The sequence below is a fragment of the Homo sapiens genome, chromosome 5 (genome assembly GCF_000001405.40).
Source record: "Homo sapiens chromosome 5, GRCh38.p14 Primary Assembly".
Classification (NCBI taxonomy): Eukaryota; Metazoa; Chordata; class Mammalia; order Primates; family Hominidae; genus Homo; species Homo sapiens.
In genome coordinates this window covers 14,331,214-14,357,185 of record NC_000005.10, presented here as the reverse complement: position 1 = coordinate 14,357,185, position 25,972 = coordinate 14,331,214, and the positions used below count along the sequence as shown (strand labels likewise).

At 43.6% G+C, this 25,972-nt stretch overlaps 1 protein-coding gene and 1 long non-coding RNA gene across 12 annotated transcripts in view, besides 1 other annotated feature; both read right to left on the bottom strand.

Moving 5' to 3' along the window:
* TRIO (trio Rho guanine nucleotide exchange factor) overlaps window positions 1-25,972 on the bottom strand; it is a 366,863-nt gene that overhangs the window by 153,019 nt on the left and 187,872 nt on the right. For all 11 annotated transcript variants that reach the window (NR_134469.2, XM_047417679.1, NM_007118.4 and 8 more), the window contains one exon: window positions 20,459-20,650. Coding sequence is in view for 10 of the 11 variants with exons in the window: in XM_047417679.1 (XP_047273635.1) it covers window positions 20,459-20,650 (192 nt within the window). In the remaining variant the exon portion in view is untranslated. The remainder of the gene's footprint in view (window positions 1-20,458; window positions 20,651-25,972) is intronic.
* On the bottom strand, window positions 3,884-11,321 carry LOC124900943 (uncharacterized). Its single transcript, XR_007058698.1, has 2 exons — window positions 9,887-11,321; window positions 3,884-9,784 (listed from the first exon to the last, which is right to left on the bottom strand). It is a non-coding gene; the product is annotated as an uncharacterized LOC124900943 (long non-coding RNA).
* Window positions 9,820-10,321: an enhancer, noted in NCBI's record as "OCT4 hESC enhancer chr5:14346974-14347475 (GRCh37/hg19 assembly coordinates)". NCBI's record gives its function as "activates a minimal SCP1, AML or CMV promoter by ChIP-STARR-seq in naive H9 embryonic stem cells {active_cell/tissue: H9 hESC(naive)}" and the evidence as "EXISTENCE:reporter gene assay evidence [ECO:0000049][PMID:30033119]".

Below are 25,972 nucleotides of genomic sequence, written 5' to 3'. Positions count from 1 at the left end.
ATAAGTCAAAACTGCACTTGCAGAAAGAAACTGTGTGTGCATGTGGTCTTCTGTTTCCAAGCCAAGCTTTTTACAAAACGGCTTTACTGAGGACTAACTGACATACTATAAGCTGCACAAATGTAAAGTGTCCAATGTGAGTTCTGACATTTGTCTATACCCACTTCACCGTGAGCCTCTCCCTCACCTCAAAGCTGGCTGATGCCCTCTGTCATGCTCCCTCCCTGGCACTCACCTGCTCTCAGCCACTGGAGATTACCTTGCATTTTCTAAAATAATTTCTAGAACTGGAATGGGACAGTATGTACTCTTTTTTTTTCTGTCCAGCTTCTTTCATTCAGCATAATTACCCTGAGATTTATCCATACTACTGTGTGTATCAAGGGTTCGTTCCTTTCCACTGTCGAATAGCAGTCCCTGCATGTGTGAAACCACAATTGATCCCTTCATCTGCTGGTGGGCATCTCGGTTATTTCCAGTTTGGAGCCACTACAAATAAAGCTGCTGTAAACATTTGGGCACAACCTCTGTATGAACTTATGATTTCCTTCCTTTTAGATAAATACCTAGGTGTAGAATGGCTGGATCATATGGCAGGTGTATGCTTAACTTAAGAAACTGCCAAGCTTTTCCAAAGTGGTGTATCATTTTTACCTTCCCACCAGCAGCGTATGAGAGTTTCAATTCCTCCACTTCCTCACCAATAACTGATGTGGTCAGTCTTTTTAACTTAAGCCATTCTAAATGAGTGGTATATCTCACTATGGTTTCAATTTCCAATTCCCTAATTACTAATGATGGCAAATCCAAGCTAAGCTTTTAAGTGTTCTTTTGCTGTCAAACATATCTTCAAAAACACACTATTACCAGATGACTTTGTTTCTCTGAAATATGCATAGGGAAACTGACTTCCATTTTTAACACAGAAAATCTTAGTATCAATTCCATACTACAATTTGTTCACTGAGCAATATTTACATACATAAAATATACTTTTATTGTTATTTGCAGGTCAGTACACATTTAAAATATAGCAGGCCAATTTTAAAATAAGAAAAGTGCTGGCAAAGAAGTTATTTTTCAATCCTGTTACCCAGGGTCCTAAGAATTAATTTTACTGAAAATATTAAAGTAAATAAAACATTTGTTAACTTTTCTCATATTATCTACCTATTTTTTGTGTCTAAGTTATCAAATTTCATACAGTTCAAGAATTTTAATCAATGGAGTTTTAGAGATAAGCTAGTTCAAAATTTTCATTTTATACATTAAGGAAGAGAAGCCCCAGGTGATGAAGTACTATGCCCAAAAGCTGGTATCAGAAAGAATACTGAGCCACAGTTGGCATCAGTATTTAATTCCACATGAAAATGCCACGCACCAATTCATCAAATCTGAACTGATGCTCTGCACCATCTATAAAGGCTTTATCATCAATAAGATGCTTTCTTGTTCTTTTGTTTTCCTCTAAATTCTCATGAACATGGCAGTTGCATTTATAAATAGGAAAGATCATAGCATGAAGGACTCTTCCAATTTGCACTAACATTTCCCATGAAAAACATTCCAAGTTGCCAAGTCACATGGCATAGTAGTAACAGTATTATAAGATTTAGAGTAAGGCGATCTGGATTTAGGAAATGCTTTACAAAGCATTAGCTGTGTGACCTAAAAGATCACTTAAATTTCTCAGAGACTCAGTTTGCTAAAACAGGGATCCTAGGAATATCAATGCCACCTAAAGGCGTCACTACGAGGAGCAGATGAAAGAGGACACAGCAGAGGGCTTCACGTCAACAGCAACGCTCTGGACAAAATTATTACCCTGGTTATAAGGATGGACTTAAATTAACTGAACAGGCAAGATTTGCTCTAACAAACCAAGTATGTGCCAACTTGGCTGCGCTGAGCTATAACTAACCATTTACCAGAACAAGGCTGTAATGTTTCATGAAAGAGTCAAAATATTTAATCAAAAACATCCATGACATTATCCAATCCATGGACATTTCTACTTAAGATGGTAACCTGCCTTCCACATGCAGGTGGTGGGGTGGGGTGAGCAACTGGCCACACACAGAGGGTGCCCACTCACTCCCAAAGCAAACCCTTTGAGTCGCACGGAGCCACTGCAGCCTCCCACCTTCCAACTTCCTCTCCTCAGTTGGACGCTGATGAAAAAGCGGTGCTGTGCAACTGCACTGATTCTGCTCACAAAGAAAATAAACCATTTATTTCACTCCTTTCTCTCAAAAATCTCAACTGTATCTTCTGCCTGAATACATTTGCTTCACTGAAGCTGCCCTCACCCTTGTCACTGTCCAATGGGACCTAGGAAATGGAGTATTCCCGGGTCCCCTGCCTGTGATAACTATAGTACTAATCAATGGACAAAAAATGGAGAACACTTAAGGAATCAACAGGGGACTCTGCATAGTTAGCTTATTACTCTGTCCCACTGCCAAGACGCTACCAACGGTGCTGCCTCTGCACTTTATGTTCAAACTTGGAGCAGAAGTGAATGATTTAAGCAAATGTACATCTGAAAAAGGTCCTCAGAAAACAGCTGACACTCTACAATCCTGCAGCCCATTGCTCTTCTCTCACTCCAATCAAATTGGAAGAAATGTAGCTGAAAATAAAGGTAAAGGAGCCAACTCTGACCCAAATATTGAACCTGCAGCGCAGCAGGAGGGCGTCCGGGTCACTCAGTGACAAGCTGCCCTTCTGGGCACTGAGAAACCAGGTCCCCTGCTGGCAGGAGCCAATGGAGGCCTCTGGCTGTAGCTGCACTCCCCTTTAGCTAGGTTCTTATGCCACTAATAGAAATTAATATCTCTTCTTTTAAATCTGTTGAGAAAACAAAAACGCTTTTTTAAAAAAAGCCTACTAGAAAAACAGCAAAATCAGCAAAACAGAACAAAATTAATCAAGACAGCAGAAGAGAATCCACATACCCTGGACAGGACACACCTCGTAACAGGGCCCTGAAATACAGGTGTCCCAACCACCCTCCCAGCCCTGCTCAGACAGTAGGGGTCAGGCCCCCAGCACCGCTGGGCCCTCTCCCTGAAGCCCTGCCAGCCGAAGCTCGGGGATGTCTGGGCCCTGAACTGGGAGATCAGCAGCCTGTCCCCTGACTCACTGTGAGGCCTCACTCAAGGACCCAACTCGTGGTACAGGAAGGGGGGCAGGCTGGCCATTTGGGTGGGGACCTCTGCAAAATTCCTCTTCTCCAGCAAATACTACCAAAAATAACACTTAAGATACAAAACGATTTTACCAAGTCTCATTTTTACACTCCGGTGAAGAGAAGATGAAAAATGACTCAGAACTGGCCGGATGCACGATACATAGCTGTGCTTCTATGCAACTCCACTGCAACAGCCTAAGAGTTACTATTAGTGCTTCTTCCATAAACGATCATTCAAATCAAACACTTCTCATAGGAGGTAATAGACAATAATGACTAAGAGTGTAGGTTGCAAAGCCAGACTGCTTGCGTTCAAGCACTGACTTAACACTTCCTAGGGTGTAACTTTGACAAGTTACCTGGATCCAGCTCTGTTTTCTCATCTATAAAATGGGCATGGTAATAATGCCTGCCTCAAAAAGTTGCTTGGGGCTGGGTGTGGTGGTTCACGCCTGTATTTCCCAGCACTCAGAGGTCGAGGCGGGCAGATCACCTGAGGTCAGGAGTTTGAGACCAGCCTGGCCAATATAGTGAAACCCTGTCTCTACTAAAAATACAAAAAAATAGCTGGGCGTGGTGGCACACACATGTAGTCCCAGCTACTTGGGAGGCTGAGGCAGGAGAATCGCTTGAATTGGGAGGCAGAGGGTGCAGTGAACTGAGATCATGCCACTGCACTCCAGCCTGGGCGACTCAGTCTCAAAAAAAAAAAAAAAAAAAAAGTTGCTTAGAAGTTTCAATGAGAAGACAATGCAGAGTGAAGAAATAAGTAAATGCTAGCCACTGTTACTGTTTTTGTTCTAAGAAAAACTCTTCTAATAATAAGAAAGATCACAGTTTTAAAATCTTCCTTCTCTAGATATTTTTCAAAACACATTCGGGTTCCTACCAATTGTTCAAAATATGTCACTTGGTCTAGTAAACTTAACATCATCCCACATTTAAATCTTTTTACTCCTAAAAATAGTACAGTATGAGGAAAACGTGCTAGAATTAGTCTGTTAGAGTCTATAGAAATCACTTCCTCTCAATTCTAGGGGAAGCGCCATGAATCTTTAGGGGTCAAACGTTTTCCCTTCCACCTGGTAGTTAAAAAAAAAAAAACCCAAAAACTAGCGTATTCCCCGCAACATCCTGGATATTTTACCGCACACTGGATGTGCTCATCCTCCCGCTGGCTGGTGAAACCAGCGCGGGTACTGAGGAGACCGTGAAGGAACTGATCCTGGGATCATGACATTAAAAAAGGACCAAACTAAATGAGGCAGAAGGAGCAAGGCTACATTTTAACCATTTAAAATATTTGCCCCTTCGGAATTTTTCTGTCTGGTCCTACAGGAAATATTCTCATTCAATTTGGAGAAAAAAGTCTTAGATAAAGGTCACTTCTAATATCAACTGGGGATGAATGGGCACACATCATAATGAAACATCACTCAAGGAAAGTCTGTTTTTAAGTTTTTAAAATGGTGTACATGATGCCTAAAATATCCCTGAATAAAGCAACGAGAAAAAACCTCTAGGATGCCTATAAAATTCTTACCATAAACTCCTAAGAGGAAAAATTGTACTTCTGGGCATGCTGCAAATTTATAATAAAAAGATAAATCTTTGCCCAGCAGCAAGAGAGTTGTGTCCTATGGAAGTTCACAGCAGTCTGGATTCTACTGAGAAACAGAAGCAGGTCTGGCAGCCACAGGGTTAGGCAAGGCTGCCCCCTGGAGGCCATCAGAGCTATTGCTGGCCATCTCTAGTGCTGAGAGGTGCCCAGGGGATCTGCAGGCCAGAGGGCTGGGTGGAAGAGGACCTGAACTCAGCCCACAAGTGGGCTGCAGGTGTGTACAGGGCCCGGCTCATGGACCAGGATCCACACAGAAGGATGACTAGGAAGGGACATGGAGTTCTGTGGTGAAAACCCGAGTGATTAAGATGTGGGAAGCCTCCCACAAGCCTCTATGGGCCCCACAGCTCTGCTGGAAGAAATCCCCTTGAAAAGCTAGCTTTTGAGATGAAAAGGCCCCTCCTCACTACCTGGAAAGGGAGACCCCGCCACAGAGGATGCCTAGAGGACCTGGCTGGGGTGGTGGACCCTCGGAAAGGACCAAGCCTCCAGTTAAGTCGAAAGTAGGATCAGGGCCCTAAGCTGGGAATTGTTCCAGCTGCAACCTCTCTGTGCTCCCCAGTGGGGTACAAGCTGATGCAGTTTGAACCCAGGCTAAAATCGGTGTCCGTCTGGAGGTGGGGTATGGAAGGAGGGGCCCAACACATCTCCTGGGGTCCTTATCCTATGTGTGGCCTTGGGAAATTCTTGGAGCACTCTATCTTCAGTTTTCTCCTGTATGTAATGAAAGCATTTTACTACATGCATCTTCTCTAACTGGGAAGCCGGAGTGAGAATCCACGTGTGAAGTATTCAACTTCTATAAGCACTTGGTGAACAGAAGCTGTTGCCATTGGTATCTGTTTCCCTACTCTTGTTTTTGACAAAGACAATCATCTGGGTACTTGTGGGAATGGGCGAGCCATAGGGCCAGCAGGGGAAGTATGAAAGCCACAGCTTCCCAGAGCTGCTGCAAGTCAGAAGCAGAAGTAGGAGTTTCAATGGCAACTTGCAGGTGGAATCTCAGAGGACAACCACTATGCACATAAAATGTGACACAGTTTCAGGTATAAAAACCAGGGATAAAAACAGAACTGCCTCATCCACGTGCAGCATGTTCCTCTGTCTGAAATGACGAACTGTACTGTGGGTCCACATGCCTGCTGCCCTGATAAGAAAGAGTAGAGTCCGGGAAGCACCTTTTCATTCTTGGGTAGGTGGAGTAAAAGATCCCTTAATACAGGGGTCACCAATGTGTGGGCTGCGGACCAGTACTGATCTGTGGCTTGTTAGGAGCTGGGCTGCACAGTGGGAGGTGAGCAGCAGGCAAGTGGTCATTAACACCTGAGTTCAGCCTCCTGTCAGATCAGCAGCGGCATTAGATTCTCACAGGACTGTGAACCCTACTGTGAATTGTGCATGCGAGGAATCCAGGTTGTGCACTCCTTACGGGATGAGAATCTAACTAACGCCTGATAATCTGAGGCAGATCAGTTTCACCCTAAAACCATCCCTGCCCCCACCAACACCGCTGGTCTGTGGAAAAATCGTCTTCCACAAAACCGGTCCCTGGGGACCGCCGCCTTAATATGATCAAAGAAAATTTATGAAGGATGTATGGGGTGGAGGTGGGGAGGAACAGAGGGCAAACCAAAGTTAGCATCATGAAGTAATTATCCATGCAAATGTATTACATGTAAGAAAGGAGGAAAAAGCAGAAGAAACACAGGGGCATATTCAGGGCAGCTATGCACGTTAAGATGGGACAGTGCGTGGACACTCCAGCACCAGAGGGTAGATGCCCTGCAGAGGTGCGAGACTGAGTACAGATAAGGCACAGGGGATGTGGCGATGACACCCAAGTAGGACAGAAGATGGACGTGACTAACCTGGGGCCAAAGCTCACAGACGGAACACCATGGACTTAAACTAACCAAACAGTATCAAGTCTAAAAGAAGAATTTGACTTTGGGGTTTTTTTTATTTTCTTTCCATTGCCCAACATCCCCGCAAGGTAAGACACTCTCTTCAACAAAAGTTGTTACCCAGGGGTGTCAAGTTTGGGAAATGCTGCTCCCCCACCCTCAGGTCATTTGGAGAGCAGCCACAGTCTCTCACTGCGGTTGGCCAAAGTGTAATTCCTCTTTGCCGTGGCAAGTCTTCAAATACCTGCAGATCGTGCCCATGTTCTCACAGCCTGCCTGCCTTTCCTTAGGGTGACATTTTATTTCTTGAACTCTGCGGGCAGAGCATGACCTGGAGCTCCTTTGACACAAGCTCACTCTCCTCCCAACACTCTCCCCTTTCAGAGTATACTATGCAGTCATAAAAAAGAAAGATCGTGTCCTTTGCAACAACATAGACAGAGCTGGAGGCCGTTATCCTTAGCAAACTAATGCATGAACAGAAAACCAACTACCCATGTTCTCACTTACAAGTGGGAGCTAAACAGTAAGAATACATGGACACAAAGAGAGGAACAACAGACACTAGGACCTACTTGAAGGTGGAGGCTGGGAGGAGGAAAAGGATCAGAAAAAATACCTATTGGGTACTATGCTTAGTACCTTGGTGAAGAAATAATCTGTACACCAACCCCCTGTGACATGAGTTTATCTATATAACAAGCCTGCACATGTACCCCTGAATCTAAAATAAAAGTTAAAAATAAACATTTTTTTAAAAGACGGATTTTGGTTTATATTAAATGGAGAAAGGTAAAAGTTCACCTCGTATGTTGAAAGCAAAAGATAGAAAACAGGATTGGCTTCTTCAAGGGCTCATCTTGTAGAACTGCCACTTGGAAACTTCCTGGTAATGTACTAAAGACAGCAGTCGCCACGACTGTCAATTCCTAAGGGAAGAGCACAGCTTAACCTTGGGCCCTGCGGCTTCAGTGGGATTCCAAAAGGTTTAATGAAATGACTCCTCTAAAATAGTCTGAAAGTAAAAGTCTTTAACACTTAAAAAAAAGAGCAAGGAAAGAGATATGGAATAATAGGGTAAAACACACACATGCTCACATGTGTGCACACATATGCAGGAAAAACACATGCTCATGTGCGTGCACACACATATACACACAGGAAAAACACATGCTCACGTGCGTACACACATACACACAGGAAAAACACATGCTCACGTGTGTGCACACACAAACACACAGGAAAAACACACATGATCATGTGTGTGCACACATATACACACAGGAAAAACACACATGCTCACGTGCATACACACCCACAAACACGCAGGAAAAACATGCTCATGTGCATGCACACACATATACACACAGGAAAAACACACATGCTCATGTGCATACACACAAACATGCAGGAAAAACACATGCTCACGTGCGTACACATAAATAAACACACAAGAAAAACATGCTCATGTGCGTGCGCACACATATACACACAGGAAAAACACACATGCTCACGTGTGTACACACATACAGGAAAAACACATGCTCACGTGCGTACACACACAAACATGCAGGAAAAACACATGCTCATGTGCATACACATATACAGGAAAAACATGCTCACGTGCGTACACACACATAAACACGCAGGAAAAACACATGCTCACGTGCGTACACACACAAACATGCAGGAAAAACACACATGCTCATGTGCGTACACACACAGAGGAAAAACACATGCTCATGTGCGTACACACACATAAACATGCAGGAAAAACATGCTCATGTGCGTACACACACATATACACACAGGAAAAACAGGTTCACATGCATGTTTGTGTACACACATGCAGGAAAAGCACACATGCTGATGTGCATGCACATGCATATACACGCAGGAAAAACATGCTGATGTGTGTGCACACACATATACAAGCAGGAAAAACACATCCTCACGTGCATGTGCACGTACATACAGACACACGCACACACAAGCAGGAAAATGGAAAGGGCATTTTCCTTGCCAAGGAGATGTTTTTAGTAGAAATAAATAGAACTGTGGCCAGTCCTTACTGAAAATTAAACATAAGCATGACTCCCCAGAAATGGTATTTCATCAATTGTTGAGCACTAAGAAGTCTAAAGAGTGTATAAATAACCAGTGTAATCTGTTCGAGGATATTATAACTATAGCTTCCAGGGCATGTTCTTACCAGATGATCATTCTGGAATATATCCTGTTTTTATTACTCTCACACTCCTCAAGTCAGTTTTGCCCAGTGTGGACACATTAAATTGATGTGATATTCATTAAGCAAAACAAAACGACATAGGGACTGGACAACTGTACACAATACCCACGTGATCCAAACAGCAGCCAGAAAGCAAGACGACGGCCTCCCTTGGTCACCACAGTGGAAGGAGTTATTTGGGGGCATGACAGCATTGTGGACTCAACCAAATAACACATGTAAGCTCATTTCTTCATTAAACACATGCTGTTGCCACCTATGTGATTCTTACTCTGTACTGATTCAAAACACTCATATATTAAAACTGATTAATGAAACTTTCTGTGGTTGATTTGGTGCTGAGATCTGTTGGGATCTGAATTCTAGCACCTGACGTATCTGACAGGCCCTTGTCTAGATTTGATACACACACCTTCCAAACCAATTCAACCACTCACAGGCTTTCTGCATGAGAACAGACACCTGCAACATGACGCTAGAAACTCCCTCCAGCACTGCTGACGTCATCCACTCACCAACCTCTGCACTGACAGTCTCACTTGCAAAGCTTTTAATGCAGCAACAATTATTTCGGCTGTGGCACTAAGCCTGTCCTTGCTATACGCTGGAAATTTGCCCATTTTTAAGAAAAATAGCGCTTAACACAGCAAAGTAGTTTTCCGGATGCCTGAATTGGGATGAGCAGTCTCTCCAGATGTCACATACAGACATAAAAGTCCTGAATAGGTTACGTGGAGTCAGTTAAAAGGCAAGACTGCACTCTTCTCCCCTACAGGCGGTGACACCAGGGATTAAACTAGTCTGTTCTGCAGGACCTCAGGTCCACCTGAGATGACTGGTCCAGCATCATCTCTGTTCTGCAGGACCTCAGGTCCACCTGAGATGACTGGTCCAGCATCATCTCTGTTCTGCAGGACCTCAGGTCCGCCTGAGATGACTGGTCCAGCATCATCTCTGTTCTGCAGGACCTCAGGTCCGCCTGAGATGACTGGTCCAGCATCATCTCTGTTCTGCAGGACCTCAGGTCCGCCTGAGATGACTGGTCCAGCATCATCTCTGTTCTGCAGGACCTCAGGTCCGCCTGAGATGACTGGTCCAGCATCATCTCTGTTCTGCAGGACCTCAGGTCCGCCTGAGATGACTGGTCCAGCATCATCTCTGTTCTGCAGGACCTCAGGTCCACCTGAGATGACTGGTCCAGCATCATCCACCACTACCTTTGTCAGTCAGCACGTCTGATCTAACTGTGGCTCCAGACTGGACGTGACTTCCTTACTGACCTGTGGGGTATGAGGACTGTCTTACTATCAGAAGCTTGCCTCCTGACATCTTCTACCTGGAGATCAGTGTGGGAGGATGAGGAGAGTTTTGGTCTCGTGCTAGCACCCTTGGTTGATTCTTTTATTATAGCCATTCAACAGTCTAATTCTAGTAACTAAGAGATAGCCCATACTTTCCTTTCTTGTCTACAAATTAAATGTTGAAAGGCCTGGTCAAATGCCTGCCCACTAATTCCACCACATGTCCTTCCTCAAGCCAGAAACCTAGTAGAGAACAAAATAAAGTTAACACATTATAACTTGTTCATTCACTTTTCCTGACCAGCGGTTTAAAAATTGTCTCTAGAACTCTGCCTAGGATTAACCTCACTCTGAGTAATGCGTGAAATCCACCTTCTTTAAAAAGCACAAGTGCGTTTTCAGCTTCTGGCATCAGCCCACTTTCCCACAGTTGCTTGGACTGATATGCTCAATATGGTGATATAATTATCAAGTTCTTTTGGTACCCAGGGATCTAATTTGTCCTAGAACAGAGGCTTGAACGTGCTTAGATTAAATAAGTCTTTCCTTACAAAGCCTTCACCATTTGGGGCTTTTGCTTCTTCTGGCCTATGTCTGGAGAGTGCTCCCCTCGAGGAGACCAAGAACCAAAGTGAGAGATGATGGGGTCCACTTTCTGCTTGTCGTTCATCAACATCACAGCTCTCAAGCAGAAAGCTCAACCCTTCCTTGATCTTCTGGTTCTGATTTTTGTACCTCAACAAATGGAAGGGAAAACAAACAAATGATAACAAAACCCAAAAAGCCTTACCAGTCTCTCCAAGCCTGGCTTATCTGGAGCTTTTAAGCTGTCCTGGCAAAACTCTAGCTAATACATTGTTGGCCAATCTCTCTACCTATTCAATAAGAACAACGAAGATCAGTACAAATGTGTCAGAAATACATACGAAAATACATACAGGTAAGTTTACCTCTTTCCTCACCAAAGACTTGTGGTTCTTTGATAATAAAATATTTAGTTTATGAAGCTGAGTAACAAAATAAGAAATAGAGAATCATAAAATGCCCTTTAAAACAGAAATTTAACAAGTAAACAGGGCTGGGCACAGTGGCTCATGTCTATAATCCCAGCACTTTGGGAAGCTGAGGTGGGTGGATCACTTGAGGTCAGGAGTCTGAGGCCAGCCTGGCCAACGTGGTGAAACCTGTCTCTACTAAAATGGTGGCACACGCCTGTAATCCCAGCTACTTGGGAGGCTGAGGCAGGAGAACTGCTTGAACCTGAGAGACAGAGGTTGCAGTGAGCCAAGATCACACCACTGCACTCCAGCCTGGGTGACAGAGTGAGACTATGTCTCAAAAAAAACAGGGCTATTCATGTACGCCTATTTCCAATTGGGCATTTTAAGGCCTTAACACTTCATCTCTTGACCTTGTGTTGAAGTGCCTCACCTTTTACATTACATTAATCAAGTCCTACTGACAAACAGCTAATTAAAGCAGACATTTACAACCCTCCATTTACAAATGACCCTCAGCAAGAAACTATAAAATCTGAAGTCAGTGGACAGTCTTATATTTTCAATCAATCCCTACTGAAAAACTGCGTTACAAATGAAGATAATATATTGTTAATTCCTTCATCCGATAATCATCTACTCGGTGACTATGATGTGTCAGGTATATCAGCACTGCATGATCTTCCACAATAACTTCTAAGCTCTCTGTTGGCATAAAACTTTTCTCTACTTGAAAATAGTGATCCGATGTTAACAAATAAAAATTGTATAAATTTAAACCACAATTTTACATCATCTTACAGAAAAAAAATGTAGCGTTTTAAGTTATTCTGATAAAAGGACTTTCCTTTCAGATAATATTATAATATCACTCTCTTCCCACTGGCCAGTACAAATGCTTTATACATGTTTATTTGGAGGAAAAAAAAATCACTTATTTCTGTTGAAACTTTAGCTGGGATCTAAGATCTAAATACTTTGTACTTAGTGATGTGTACAAAATGATTTTTGCCAATATGAAGGGAACTATGGGTAAGGGTTCTTCCCAGCAGTCTACTCTGCTCTGAGGGCCAGCAGCTGGAGATGGACAGAGTTGTGTATATCCCACGAAAGGCTTTTGGTTTTGATGTTAAGAATAGGATCAGAGTGAGGTTATTACTCGGAGGAGGACAGGAAGATTAAGCAGTTACTGTTGTTCAAAGATTAATGAGGTAGAGACAACATTATACCTAGATATTTGTATCTTTGCCCCTTACTTTAAAGTCTGTATTATTTTATCTATATCGATGTTACAATCGGGGTCAGGACAGGAAAAAAGAACACTGGCCAGCAGCTACCCTAAGAAAAGCATTCTGAGGTGCTTTCCACGTGTAATTTAATTTGTCTCACTTTCCTTAGAGATTGTATTATCCTATATTGTAGCTAAGGAAGTTGAGGTACTACACAGTAACTTATCCCAGATCACTCAGCAAATTTAGGGGGTGTGTTTGTTATACTATATTTTCTCAATTATTTCAATAAAGATTATATTTTTATAGAAAGACATAATTGACTAGATGTATTTTTTTTGGATATTCCCACCAATGGGAAGACCACCTGTTTTTTAAAATCAGTATGCCACGCTAGATACCGCAGTCTATGTAAAGACATAATGCTACGCCAGCAGGTGCCAAGTGATGCCAAGGTCAAATCTAATGCTCAGTCACACAGGGGCTGATGATGCAGTCGACAGTTCTAGGCTGTTAGTTTCCTCTTGCTTTCACCAGCTGGTGGACATATTTAATTACTCATTTGTACCCATGTCAGAAAAATAAAGAAATCAAATGTGTAAAAGCATATAGAGAGAATTTAATGCACTAAAGAGCGCAGCTAAATAATTCATATTAAACAAAAATTACTGAGGCTCGATCATATACACTGAACTTTCTACTCTAAAATATTACATACTGGATTTTAACCATTCTCACTGACAAGCTTAAAGCAATCCTGGACTTGTAAGATGCTGAAGAGCTGAAGATCACTCACATACATTTCTGGTGGTAATGTACCATGGTACGCTCATTCTGGAAAACAGTTTGGCAGTGTCTTTTAAAAACTAAACGTGTGCTTACCAAAGGACCCAGCAAACGCACTCCTGGGCATTTGTTCCAAAGAAATGAAAACCATGTTCACGCAAAAACCTAGACAGGATTGTTCATAATTTCTGTGTATTTCCCTGTAATAGCCAAAAACGGAAAATAACTCGAATGTCCCCAGTGGACAAATAGTTAAATAAACTGTGATATATCCAGACCATGAAATACCACTCAGCAATAAAGAGGAAGGAACTACTACAGACACATGCGACAAAGTGGGTGTGTCAAAGGAATTGTGCTGAGTTAAAAAAAAGCCATCTCAAAAAGTTACATGCTGCATGACTCCATTTATGTAACATTTTAGAAATAACAAAATAATAGAAGCAGAGAAGAACAGATAAGTGGTTGCCAGGGGTTAGAGATGGAGCAGGGGTTAGATATCACTGAAGGAAGCCAGTGCAGGGAACCCTTTGATGATGGGAAAATTCTGTATGGTTCTGTATCTTGAAAGTGATGGTGGTTACACAAATCTATACATGATACAATTGCACAGGACTAAACACACACATACACATGGGCACACATACACATCTAAACCTCGCGGAAAGTGAATAAGCCTTGAGGGCTGCAGCAAAGTCAGTGTCCTGGTTTGATTGTGTGCTGAGGTTATGCAAGATGCTACCGCTGTGGGAGGCTTGGTGAAGATGCATGGGACCTCCTTGTCCATTTCTCTCTCTTTTTTTTTTTTTTTTTGCAACTTTCTGTGATTCTATAATTACTTCAAAATAAAAAGTAAAAAGAAAAGCTAGGGAGTATGTTTAAAGATATGACATCTTTGGAGGTACAAACAAATGGTCCTCAACCTAAGATGGCTTGATTTTGATTTTTCAACTTGACGATGGACTTATTTGGGCATAACTCCATCACACATGTAAGTTGAGGAGCATATGGACTTACAACGGTTCAGCCTGTGAATTTTCATCTTTGCGATAGTATTAGTGCATTTTCAACAATAGATTTATTGGCATGTAATCCCCTAAGTTAAGAAGCATGTGTGTATATGTGGGGTGGAAATAGGAATGAAAGAAACAAAAAGCAAATCATTTTAGAGAATAATGACAGACGACTCATCAACAAAAATACTTCCAGGAAGGCCAAAAGGCAAGGCTTGGAAGCTGGGAACCAAATTTTAGACAACTTTGCACAAGAGATATAAGGCATCTGGAGGAATCCAGGGCGCATGAGAGACTGGGATAATTCAGAAAATGACTGTGTTCTGTGGCTGCAGAGAGTCATTTCCATGTAGAGTAAAAAGCCACACCTCCCATGGGAAAGCCCCCAAGGAGGAAGTGAGGCCTGTTTAGTGACAGGCCCTGCACTGGAACCACTGATAATCAGAGCACCCATCGGAGGGCAGCTAGTCTACACAATGAGCACTGTGGACCTTTAGTCAGTTTTCCTGTTTAGTTTAAACACCAGATGCCCGATGCAGTCTCCAGCTCTGCAAGGGAAAGAAGGAAAAGAAATCTGGGCCCTCTAAGCAGTGGGTGCTTGAGAGAGCACTGGGTATGTTTTCAATATACTCCTGGAGCAAACTCGGTGAGGACCTGAGGGTCAGAGGAGAGGCAGCTCCGAGAGCCTCACGTACCAAGAAGCCAGAGAGCACCTGCTTCCCAGGAACCCTCCCCCGGCCCCAGTGCAAGAAGCCTGGCAGCTCTGGCTTTCTCCCTCTTTTCCCCTTGCAGAGCTGAGCAATGGTCCCAGCACAAAGAAGACTGGATGCTCAATTGTTAGGCATAAAGACAGAGCCAGGCTGGTGTCTGCAACAAAACATCTCCAGGTGGCTGGGAGGCCTTTGTTTTTGACTTCTGAATAAAATGAAAGGTTCCTCTTTTCCCAGCCATTACTCTAAACAAAAACTTGTCCCAGTTCAGTGTGTAAGTTTGCAGAACTAGAACCAAGAGGCTTCCTTTACTTAAACGCAGCAAGAATCACAGCCCAATTCAAGTGGGAATGATTTTTCCTGGGAAACCTTGGCTTCTGAGAACAAAAATCAATGCAATGGAACTGAATCAATTCCAGAAACAAACTCTGGCTGAGAGCTCAATGTCACCACCTGATTGCCTCAAATAACCCACACATTTCAAAGGTAATTATTAGTTAACTCAGGACCTAATTTTGAGAATGAAGTTGAATGAATATGAATGAATGAAAATAGTTATGCTTTTGCTGTATTTGAAAATGGAAATCTCATTCAATCACTAAATCTATCATTAAATCTCAGAATAATATGCTAGAAATAGACATCACTTATTTCACAGGCTTTCACTGAGTATCTGCCAATTCCAGGAGGTAGACTAGTTAGTGGAAACACAAAGGTAAGTGAGACATGGTCCTGGGCTTCAAGGAATTTAAAGGCTACCAAGAGAAACAAACAAATGTCTAAAATGTAGGAGACACACAAAAGCAGAAGCATGTTCTTTTGGTCATTCATTTAGGTATCACCTCCTTGCACATTACCATTGCCTTGAGAGACCCTTTGGAATGAATGAGTGAAAAGAGTGAATGAACAAATAAACAGTGAAAAATGCATTCAAAAGGAAAGGAGGACAAACAAAAAAGGACAAATAGCAGGAGCATTATCAACAGAACTGATGTGAATAAATGCCATACACAGGACTGAAGGGGAATGCATACTGCAGGGGGACTAAGAGTGGATGACAACGTGTAGGAGGAGAAAGATCCTCCCAAATCAAACCCAAACTTATGTCAGGCCAATCAACATTCCTTCCAAATACTTAAAAAACAAAACAAAAACAGAACAAAGCACCAGGCTGCAGGCATTCTGAAAGGAGGCTACGAACCTCAGGATTCTTTTTAGAGAAAACAGCATCTTGGAATACTTCCAAATCTGGGCTTGAGGGGCAAATGGGCTGAAATTTCTATCAACCACCTGCTGCATTCTACCTCGAGGTAGAAAATATTTGTCCCCTAGGTAAAATGCATCCCCTTTTCTCTCTTCTCAGGAACAAGTGTCTATTCTGTCCTCTGGGGTAAAAGAACCAGAGTACAGAGGTCTCAGTTTTTGGAGTCTAAGAGCCTGGTCTTCAACAAGACTTCCGGCAGCCACCTTCTTCCAGGGGTTTCTTAAAGAGATTCCTGAGCTAATGCTCAGTAAACATCACCTTGACTTTGCACCTTTTTAAAGTGAGTTGTTATGACCTCATGTTTGTATTACTTGTTCATCAGAGGGCCAGGAATTTATTGCAAAAAGAGACAGTGACAACTATACTCCAGATAAAGTGAGGACGAGAGCCACTGTGGAACACCTGGCAGCAAGGAAGACTAACTTCTGTCACGAGAGCCTTTAGCAACTTCTAAAAAAGCTTCATGAATTTGCCTAAATGAAAAAGACAAGCTACTTTTTCTTTTTTTTTTTTTTTTTCCAGACGGAGTCTTGCTCTGTTGCCCAGGCTGGAGTGCAGTGGCACAATCTCGGCTCACTGCAAGCTCTGCCTCCCAGGTTCATGCCATTCTCCTGCCTCAGCCTCCCAAGTAGCTGGGACTACAGGCGCCCGCCACCACGCCTGGCTAATTTTTTTGTATTTTTAGTAGAGACGGGGTTTCACCGTGTGTTAGCCAGGATGGTCTCGATCTCCTGACCTCGTGATCCAACTGCCTCAGCCTCCCAAAGTGCTGGGATTACAGGCGTGAATCACCACGCCCAGCCAAGACAAGCTACTTTTTCTATCTTCTTCTATGTAATTTTTAATTGTATGATCTGCTTAAGAAGAACAGACTCAGACAATGTGTATCTTTTAGCAATTTTTCGTTCATCTGATATGCAAATACATTTAGTGACTTTATGCAAACACCTAGCAAATTAGCATGATTTCCTCTTCTAGGCCCATCTAGCTTTTCATTTTAAACTAATTAAACTTGTTCTAAGCTTATCTTAGTTTTCATTCAATAACCAGCTTCAAAATACGATGACTGAAGAAACCATTCTTTCCCGCATGGAACCTACCAAGGATTCCTGGGAGTTTCAGGGCTTTTGTACAGCACAGAAAAAGAACTGAGGGAAATTCTCAGGCTGGTCAGGGAAAGACAAATCTACTGAAGAAACGGGCAGCATTCCAGCCTGCGGGCAGCGTCCTTGAATGCCAATCACACGGGCACACGTGTGTCCTGCTATGCCCTCCCTAACTGGGCCCCGATCCCTCCTTGGTCCCAGGTTACGTGACGTGCACACAAGTAAGATGGTGCAGGTCGAGGAAAACATGCCAGTTTCTCTGCTACTAAGATGGCCTTTCATAGACTGCACTAAAAATCCTGCAGTCATAAAAGTGAACCACTTAGTCCTTAAAACTGATTTAAGGTCTCCTTAGTCTACAAACTCATACATACTAGAAATTCCTATTGTGTAAGTCAATGAAAACAAAATGTATTTTTACTTTTAAATAATTTCCAAACCTAGTGACAATACAGACTCCATGGTCTTATAAGTGGATGCTCTTATTAGAAGATTGTTCCTTAAAAACACTGCTGTTACAAAAGCCAATGAGCCCAAACGAAGCCTCTGGACAAGAGCTTTGTTTCTGTGTTTGAGACAGGGTCTTGCTCTGTTGCCCAGGCTGGAGTGCAATGGTGTGATCTCGGCTCACTGCAACTTTCACCTTCTGAGCTCAAGTGACCCTCCTGCCTCAGCCTCCCAAGTAGATGGGACTACAGGTGCCACCACACCCGGCTAATTTTTTTTTTAATTATTTGTAGGTAACAGCTTTTGAAAAAGCACTTTCCTTCCAGTTATCCTTTAGTGTCTGGTTTCTGAAAACCACTGCCGAGTTGAAAAGGTGACTTAAATCACAAATACTGCTTGGTGGGAAGAGTCTTCTGTCCTATAAGGAAGCTAGACCCTTACCTCAGACTGCTAAGCTGCTATAGAATATGGCCAGGCATGCCACACAAACACCAGCTCCAACCACCTGGCTCTGGAACATGCCACAGATGCAAGGCCCTCTTCCCTCTGCCCCTTCCTCTCGATTTGGCCTCTCAGCCACTCCCAGCTGCCTGACACTCTTCCTGCCTCTCCCTTATGGCATCTACAGCATCCAGGGCAACTGTGGTCACTGGGCCCCGAATGAGGAACCTGCAGACTGGACATCCCTGCCCAGGTCCCTGCCCTCAGAAGGGTCCAGGCTGCTGTGCTCCTGGCCCATGTTCTGTCAATGTCACAGCTTAGTGAACTATGCCACAATCTGTTTTCATACACAGATCACCTTAACCCTCTCCTTCTCTCTCAGCTACGGTGTAAAAACATGTAAAGTAACACACAATCACACGCATGACAACTGCCGTTAACAGGTGCATGTAGAGGGAGCTCTAGAAGGTGCAAGGGAGAGCGGCTAACCACGCCCATCCTTGTCTCAAAGGTGCCAGAAAGTTCTGGATCAGGGGATACTGTGTTGAGCGGGAGGGGTCCTGGAAGAGGAGGACACAGCACAAGACAGGCTGCAAGGAAAAACGTGGTCTATGTTGTGAGGATGTGGAGGTATCAGGCTGCTCCCCACATACAAGAAGAACCACTGGTAGTTTAAAAGCAGGGGTACGGCCTAGTCAAATTTCTATTTCAGAAAAATTACTCTGGTAGCGGTGCCACAGGGAGGCTGGGACAAAGAGCTAGCAGAGGCTGGAGGGCAGCAAGAGACAAGCTCGGTTCACAATGAGTGGGAAACTTAGTCTAGAGGCACGTGCAGCAATGACTAGGAACTGCCACAGAACAATGTCCATTTAATGTGTCTCCTCAAAAAAATAGCCTCTTTTGTTAAGAATTTTCAAGAGCAATTTCAGTGATGGCATTCTGAGGAGCAGGAAAAGAAGTTAGCTGTGCCAGTTTCTATCCTGATGACCATCTCGGGACCAAGAAGCACCAGCCCCTTGGCAGAAAGGATCGAGAGAGCCAGCTGCCAGCCCGGGGCAGGACTGAGTGCAAACCCCAGGGGTCCCAGTGGTTTGCTGTGTACTCTCCTCCACTCCTTCACAGCCTCACAGGGTTTCAGAGGGAAGCCTGCAGTCCAAACATTCCAGCAACAAATGACCCGACTGAGGACTAACTGTCCAAGATCTCAGAGCTGGTAGTGCCGTTCTTTTCCTTTAAAGGAATTGGTGGGTCTCCGAGCACTGATGCCTTGAAATGAGGCAAGTCAGGCCTCGCCCTCCCCTCTTTCCCCAGTAGTCCTACTCTTCCAGATCCTTTTTCCCATCCTATGACCACAAGCTTCCATGTGCATAGTCCCCAGTTACCCAGAAGGGCCCCTCATTTCCAGTTCATCAAGAGCTGCATCTGAATAAGTTACGATCCTCTGTGAAGGTCCTCAGTGACGCAGGGAATTTTCTTTTTTACACAGAAGTAAGGTGTGGTAAGTTGACATCCCTACTCAATTTGTAGTCACCCTGAATATGAACTTTTATTTTAAATTATTTTTTCCTCAGAAGCTACATAGTAGTTTCTTTCATGTAACTTTATATGATTTCTACCAAGAATAACATATATGCAAGGTATAATTAGTACCTACCTATTTTTCACACACCAAATAACATTATTTCTTGTCATGAGATGAGCTGATTAACAGGTGCATGCCTATGACATTAGCTTTAATATTATTCGTACCAGGTTGGCTCTGGCACATTTAAACTCAATATTAGGTAACACTCACGTTTACTAGCATCTGAGAGAAGTCTCGTAAAATCCAGAGGCAATCATGTTGGCAGCCATGTGACAGGTTCACAGCCAGGAAGGAGACCCAACAGCTCTGACCAACAACGCGCAGGTCCCCTACTTATAGAAATGGACGTTCTCTGTCTCTCCCAACCCTCATGGGTCCTCTCTTTATGGAAAGCCCCAGCAAAGGCAGCCATGCGCTCACAAAACAAGGAAAGCCAGCACAAGCCCGGCTTTTCCCTGTCCACGCAGACACACTCAGCACTAATGGGCTACATCTTACAACTTGCCACCTTTGTCCACTTTCTCACATTATGACTAAATTTAGGTTCCTCCAAAAGAGTTCAAAGACCCTTTCAAGCACAGATCATATTTTGGTCTCCTGGCACCTTACCTCTTTCACATGGGTGTGAAAGGACACTGACATGTCCAGTAGGATCTTTCGCTGCTCAACACGCCGAACGAAATCTTGAATCCGGTCTTCCAGCTGATGGGCAGCCTGATAAATCTCTTCGGGGTCACATTCCCCAGTCTGAGCCAGCTGTTCTGCTGCTTCCAGTAATTTATCCGCATTGGTGTATGTGTTCTGCACAAGAGAACATCCCAGAGAAACAGAAGGTAAGTGAAAAGCAGACCAGCCAGGCTGGGCGCCATAATATATAGCAACACAGTCAATTTGTGATATTTTTGATCACTTACATGAATCAAACAGAAAAATATGATGGGGAGAGATGATTTTGGGAATTCTATGCAGAATTCCTTTCCCGCTGTTGTTTTAGATTGTTAAACTTTGAACCCCATATCAAAACCCTTGTATTGAAGGTAGTGATGGACTATCTGCAGGCAATTGCTGGCTGTCTTGTGACTCAGAGCTTTCAGATTTTTGCCAAGGTGGAGTCAGGAGACGGCCCCCAGCAACAAATGCCTGCTTCACTTTTTCTTCCAGTTTTATCACCAAGCAGAGAGTTCCAGTCTATGTCTTTCCGTATGATACAATGCTTTACGATAATTCTCGAAGTACAAGTTAAAGGTTAAATTCCAAACAAACATAAGTTGCTATCCCTTTTCACACATTTCTACTTGTTGGTAATTCTGTGCTCATCTTCTTTCTACTTAAGGCTATATATTTTTTATTTTTCTGTTTTGTTTTCCAGCTTGCATGACAGTCTCACTCTGTGGCCCAGGCTGGAGTGCAGTGGTGTGATCACAGCTCACTGCAGCCTTGAACTCCTGGGCTCAAGCAATCCTCCCACCTTAGCCTTCCAAGTAGCTGGAACCACAGACATGCGCTACCATGCCCAGCTAAATGTTGTATTTTTAGGAGAGATGGGGGTTTGCAATGTTGCCCAGGCTGGTCTCGAACTCCTGGGCTCAGATAATCCTCTCGTCTTGGCCTCCCAAAGTACCAGGATTACAGGCATGAACCACTTTGCCTGGCCACATTTTTTGAGAAAAAGGAAATAATAACTATAATGGCTCTAAAGTAGCCAGAGTTTTAAAGAGCTCAAAGTGTAAACACGTGTCTAAAATACTCTAAAAATCACCTTAATTCCTAATAATCTGAGGCTGTAAGTGGGTTCCTCCAACAGGAAGGCATGCGAGAGCCCTGATGCTGTTACAGGAAGCTGCTGCGGAGGGGTCCACAGGTGGGAGGGGAGCCCCGGGAGACGCTGGGGGATGCCAGGACAGGAAAGGAACGGAGCTCAGGCCTTCTAAGAAGGCCCAGGAAGTCAGCTTTGGGTTTCCCTTGAGAAACAAGGTGAATCCTTATCCTTCTCAGAGATGTAAGATGAGCAGGGAAGGCGTCTCATCGGTGAGGGTCTGAGCAGGATGTGAGGGCGTCATGTGGGGAGGGGTGGCCTCCAAGTTGGGAGACTGGTTACATTAGTAGAATGGAATTACACAAGTAAGCCAATACCTGAGGGATAATGGGAGCCAGGTTTCTCTATTTGAGAAAAGGGAGTTATAAATATAGCGAAGGAGAAAACTTGAGTGAACTCTTGGCATTGGGCTGGAATTGGAGCTATTCGCATGAATACATACATGGTTTTTAACAGACAGATGTGAATGCGCATGTGTACACACACACACACACACACGAGACAGATCTAAAAAGCAGCTTTCACCTATGGAACAATTCCTGACTGCTTTCCAGGGCTTCTCTCATCCAGGCCCTCCCCTCCTATGGCTGCCACCTGTGCCTCTGGGCACAAGAGTGGGCACTCCTGTGACCATGGTCAGCCATGAGCACCAACGGCTCTGCTGTGGAGGGTCTGCCTGCACTCTTGCCTACAAAGGTTCTCTAGCCATCAGAGGCCGCACCTGCAGGTGGCTTCCTTCCAGGGAAGAAGGCTTGGAAGTCCCTGCTTACCCCCAGCTGAGCGTCACCTCGGAACTCCTGTGTCTGCATCTCTATCATGGGCACAACGGGGCCTCCATGCTGAATGAAGCTAACGGTGTAGCAAGCTGTACAGAGAACCCAGAGTGCCACAGACGCACATTTCTAAAGAGCTGAATCCTGTTTTCCTATGATCACCACTACAGTTTTGGAATTGTGGACTTCTCATATTTGGTAAGTGGATCTAAAGATGACAGAGCCTCCCAACAGCCAAGTATTACGTTTCTGAAAGCCTTCCCACGTCTATTCCAACAAGTAAAGATATTTTTTAAAATGTCCCAAAGAAACAAGTGCATTTCTGAATGATCTGAGACGTGAAACAGCCATCATTTATTTCCCTTTTAATCTTGTGCTTGAAGAACATGAGACAGCACAAAAGGTGCCAGGGCTGGTGGGGCCTGTGTCAGCACTCGTGCCTCTGAAACCCCTGGCCAGGTTTTCCCGGGAACGAGACCTTCCCTGGGTCCTTCTGCAACTGGAGAACAGAGATTTCTTTGTGCTAGTATCAACCATACTCATCAGAAATGCTACCTTTTTGGCACTTAACACTGTGCCTCACAAAAGCGGCAGGACATGGATACTACCTGATTTCCCATTTCACAGGCGAGGAAATCGAGGCACAGAGGGGTGCAGTAACTTGTCCACCAAGTCAGTCAGCAGAGCTGGGATTGTTAAAACAACCAGTACCTAAGCCACAGTTCCTCACACGAGGGGAAACTGAGACACTGGACTAAAGTGGGGAGGATATCAGAGTCAGGGAGCATTTGAGAGTCTGAGAGACTGGGCTTCTCCTGTCCAACTCCTACTATCCTGTTCCCGAGGCATCTCATGCTAGAGCCGTTTTCTGATCTGTGGTGTGTGGGTCATCCCTGCCATGGGGATTAAAAGGAATAAGGTAAGGCCAGGCCAGGGTGGGGGCCTAACTGGTGTCCTCTTTTTCTTGAGAACTTGGTAGGACTCAAGCAGACAAAAAGAGCCACTAGAAGGCAAAGGTGCATGAGACTTTGCTCTTCCTGCAATCCTTGGCTGCAGGGCTGTTTCTCACTAAAGATGACCAGGGGCTGTACTTAGAATTCAATGGAAAATAAGGGATTTTGGGAACTTAGAACAGATAGGAAAAAGAAGGAAAATGAGCATTTGAGGCCTAAATACTTTCATTATATTTGCTTGGTTTAAAAGACAACAAAGTCTGCATATTGAAAACCTCCAAGGTATTTTATTAATACAGAAATGTAATCAGAAGAATGATGGGCCAGGACATCTACAGTGCAAATTAAAAGCCCCAGGTAACTTAAATTATCACCTAAAAGGCACACAAATTCCCAGGGATCGTCTTTTCATCCGTGAAGGGAAAACACGGCATCCCAAGAGACAAGCTCACCGCCCCTGCAACATGTGTCCACAGGATAGAGTAAGCAGCACCACAAACGCTAACTAACAGTGGACCCAAGAAGTGCTGTGGATTTCTCTGGACACAGCAAAACACAGACAACTATCTATGTCTCTCACCATTTGACCGGACACACACTGTTGTGTAGTGTGGGAGTGGGAGGGTTTTAGCGAGGTGAAGTGGCCCGCGGGTGATACAACTCCAACATCCTCTGGTGCTGCTTTCCAGTGCTGCTGAGGACTGCAGGAAGAGCCAAGTCTCATTATTTTCCACTGGATTCCAAATACAGCCTCTGGCCGTCTTTAGTAAAAACTGGTCCTGCAGCTGAAGACTGCAGGAAGGGCAAAGTCGCAGGCGCATTTGGCTTCTAGTGGCTCTTGTCCCAAAACGTAAACACAAGGCTAGTATTCACCAAAAGATCTGAATAATCTGAATGATCGTACTGTTCTAGGCAAAGACAGCACCACAAGCGCCTGCTGGGTGTCAGGCATTTCTACATGTATTCTCATCACAGCGACTCGGTGAAGGTAGGTGTTAGGTATCATTTTACAGCAAGGAAAACCGAGGCTCCGAGAGATGAAGTTTTCCACTGTCTTGCAATCAGAAAGCAGTGGAGTCATATTGGTAAATTTTGGAAGTATTTTTAATAAGGAAAAATTAGCAGATGAGAAGATTTGGTACCCTGTAAATACGTGCCAGTCTAAAGAAAATGCTTGATAGCAAATAATTTGACCTGAATTTTCCACTAGTAATTTATTTTAAAAGATTAAAAACAATACATCTTATATTAGGAACCAAACTTACTGCAAAGCAACAGCCTATTTTGTACATATGCATGCTCTAACGGCTGTCACAAATCAGAATTTAGAGCATGCTACACGTGGGGACATTCTGTATGTCCACGTGTTATGGAGGCAGTTATCCTCCTTGCAAAAGATGAATGAGTTAAGTCATGACCAGGGAGTCACTGGTCTGCTTTTCTTTTAAAAATCAAGAATGAATTCAAGGTCTCCTGCTTTCCTAAATGACAAACTCTTTTATCCAGGAAGACAAGATAATTACGTGGCACATACGAAAAGCTGTTGACAGAAATGGCTTCCTGGATAATAACTTTGTGACAGGTTACATCTCTGAAAGATAATTTGAATCCAGGGGGATAGGCAGAAAAGAGCGAGGGTGGTTTAAGAATTCACAGAGCAGGTACTTAGGAAGGATGCTATGCCAAAGATTTACTAATGATAGTAAAGATACCTTCTGTGCTCTCAAAACCAGATTCTTCCTTGAACCTGAGTTTTCTGGGCTTTACTGGCTGTTTTAATCATAACTTTTAAAATCTAAAACAGGAACATTAACATGAAAGAGTATCTTCCTGACAGTTATTTGCAAAAAGCTTCGCATGAAAAGTATTTTTTATTTCTTTTTTTACACTAGCCCATGAAAATGCACGATGGCTATTCACACCACACATACACATCAATTAGCATGGATTCATTCAACAGGATAGAGCTACTCACAATCACTGTACAAAATTAAGGAAAGGACCTTCAAATTAGTTACGAGGAAGTTCTTGACTCTGCAAAACTGCATGCAAAATGGATCCAAGTGCTTCCTGAGGTGACTGCAGCCGTGTCTAAAACAAATTCTGAAACCCAGGGCCCCTGCAGCTAGGTCTTGTGTCTGCAGAAGTTACACTGTATGACTCGCTTCCACCACCTAAACATGAGGTTCGAATTTTGGGTTCCTCCTTCTCAGAACACCAGAACTGTTCTATATAATAAATCTATATTTAGTACATTTTTAAATGAATTCAACCATAACATTTCACCACTTCCTTTCTGAATCTCTGCTGTGTTACTTCATCAAGCCACAACTCACTAGTTTAAAGAAGTTGACTATAAGAAAAATCTTATTAAATAAATTACTGGGCTTATTTTTCAGATCAGAAAGTTAACCTTAGAAAGGTTAAGCGACTTGTCCAAAGTCAGGCGGCCAGTGCTCAAACCCCACAAATCCCACATTCGGAACACACTGGACTCCCGGCTCCTGTTTCCTAAGCCCACACATTTAAAGAAATGCAAACAGAACAAGTAAGGCTTAGCCTACTACTATAGAAACGCAGA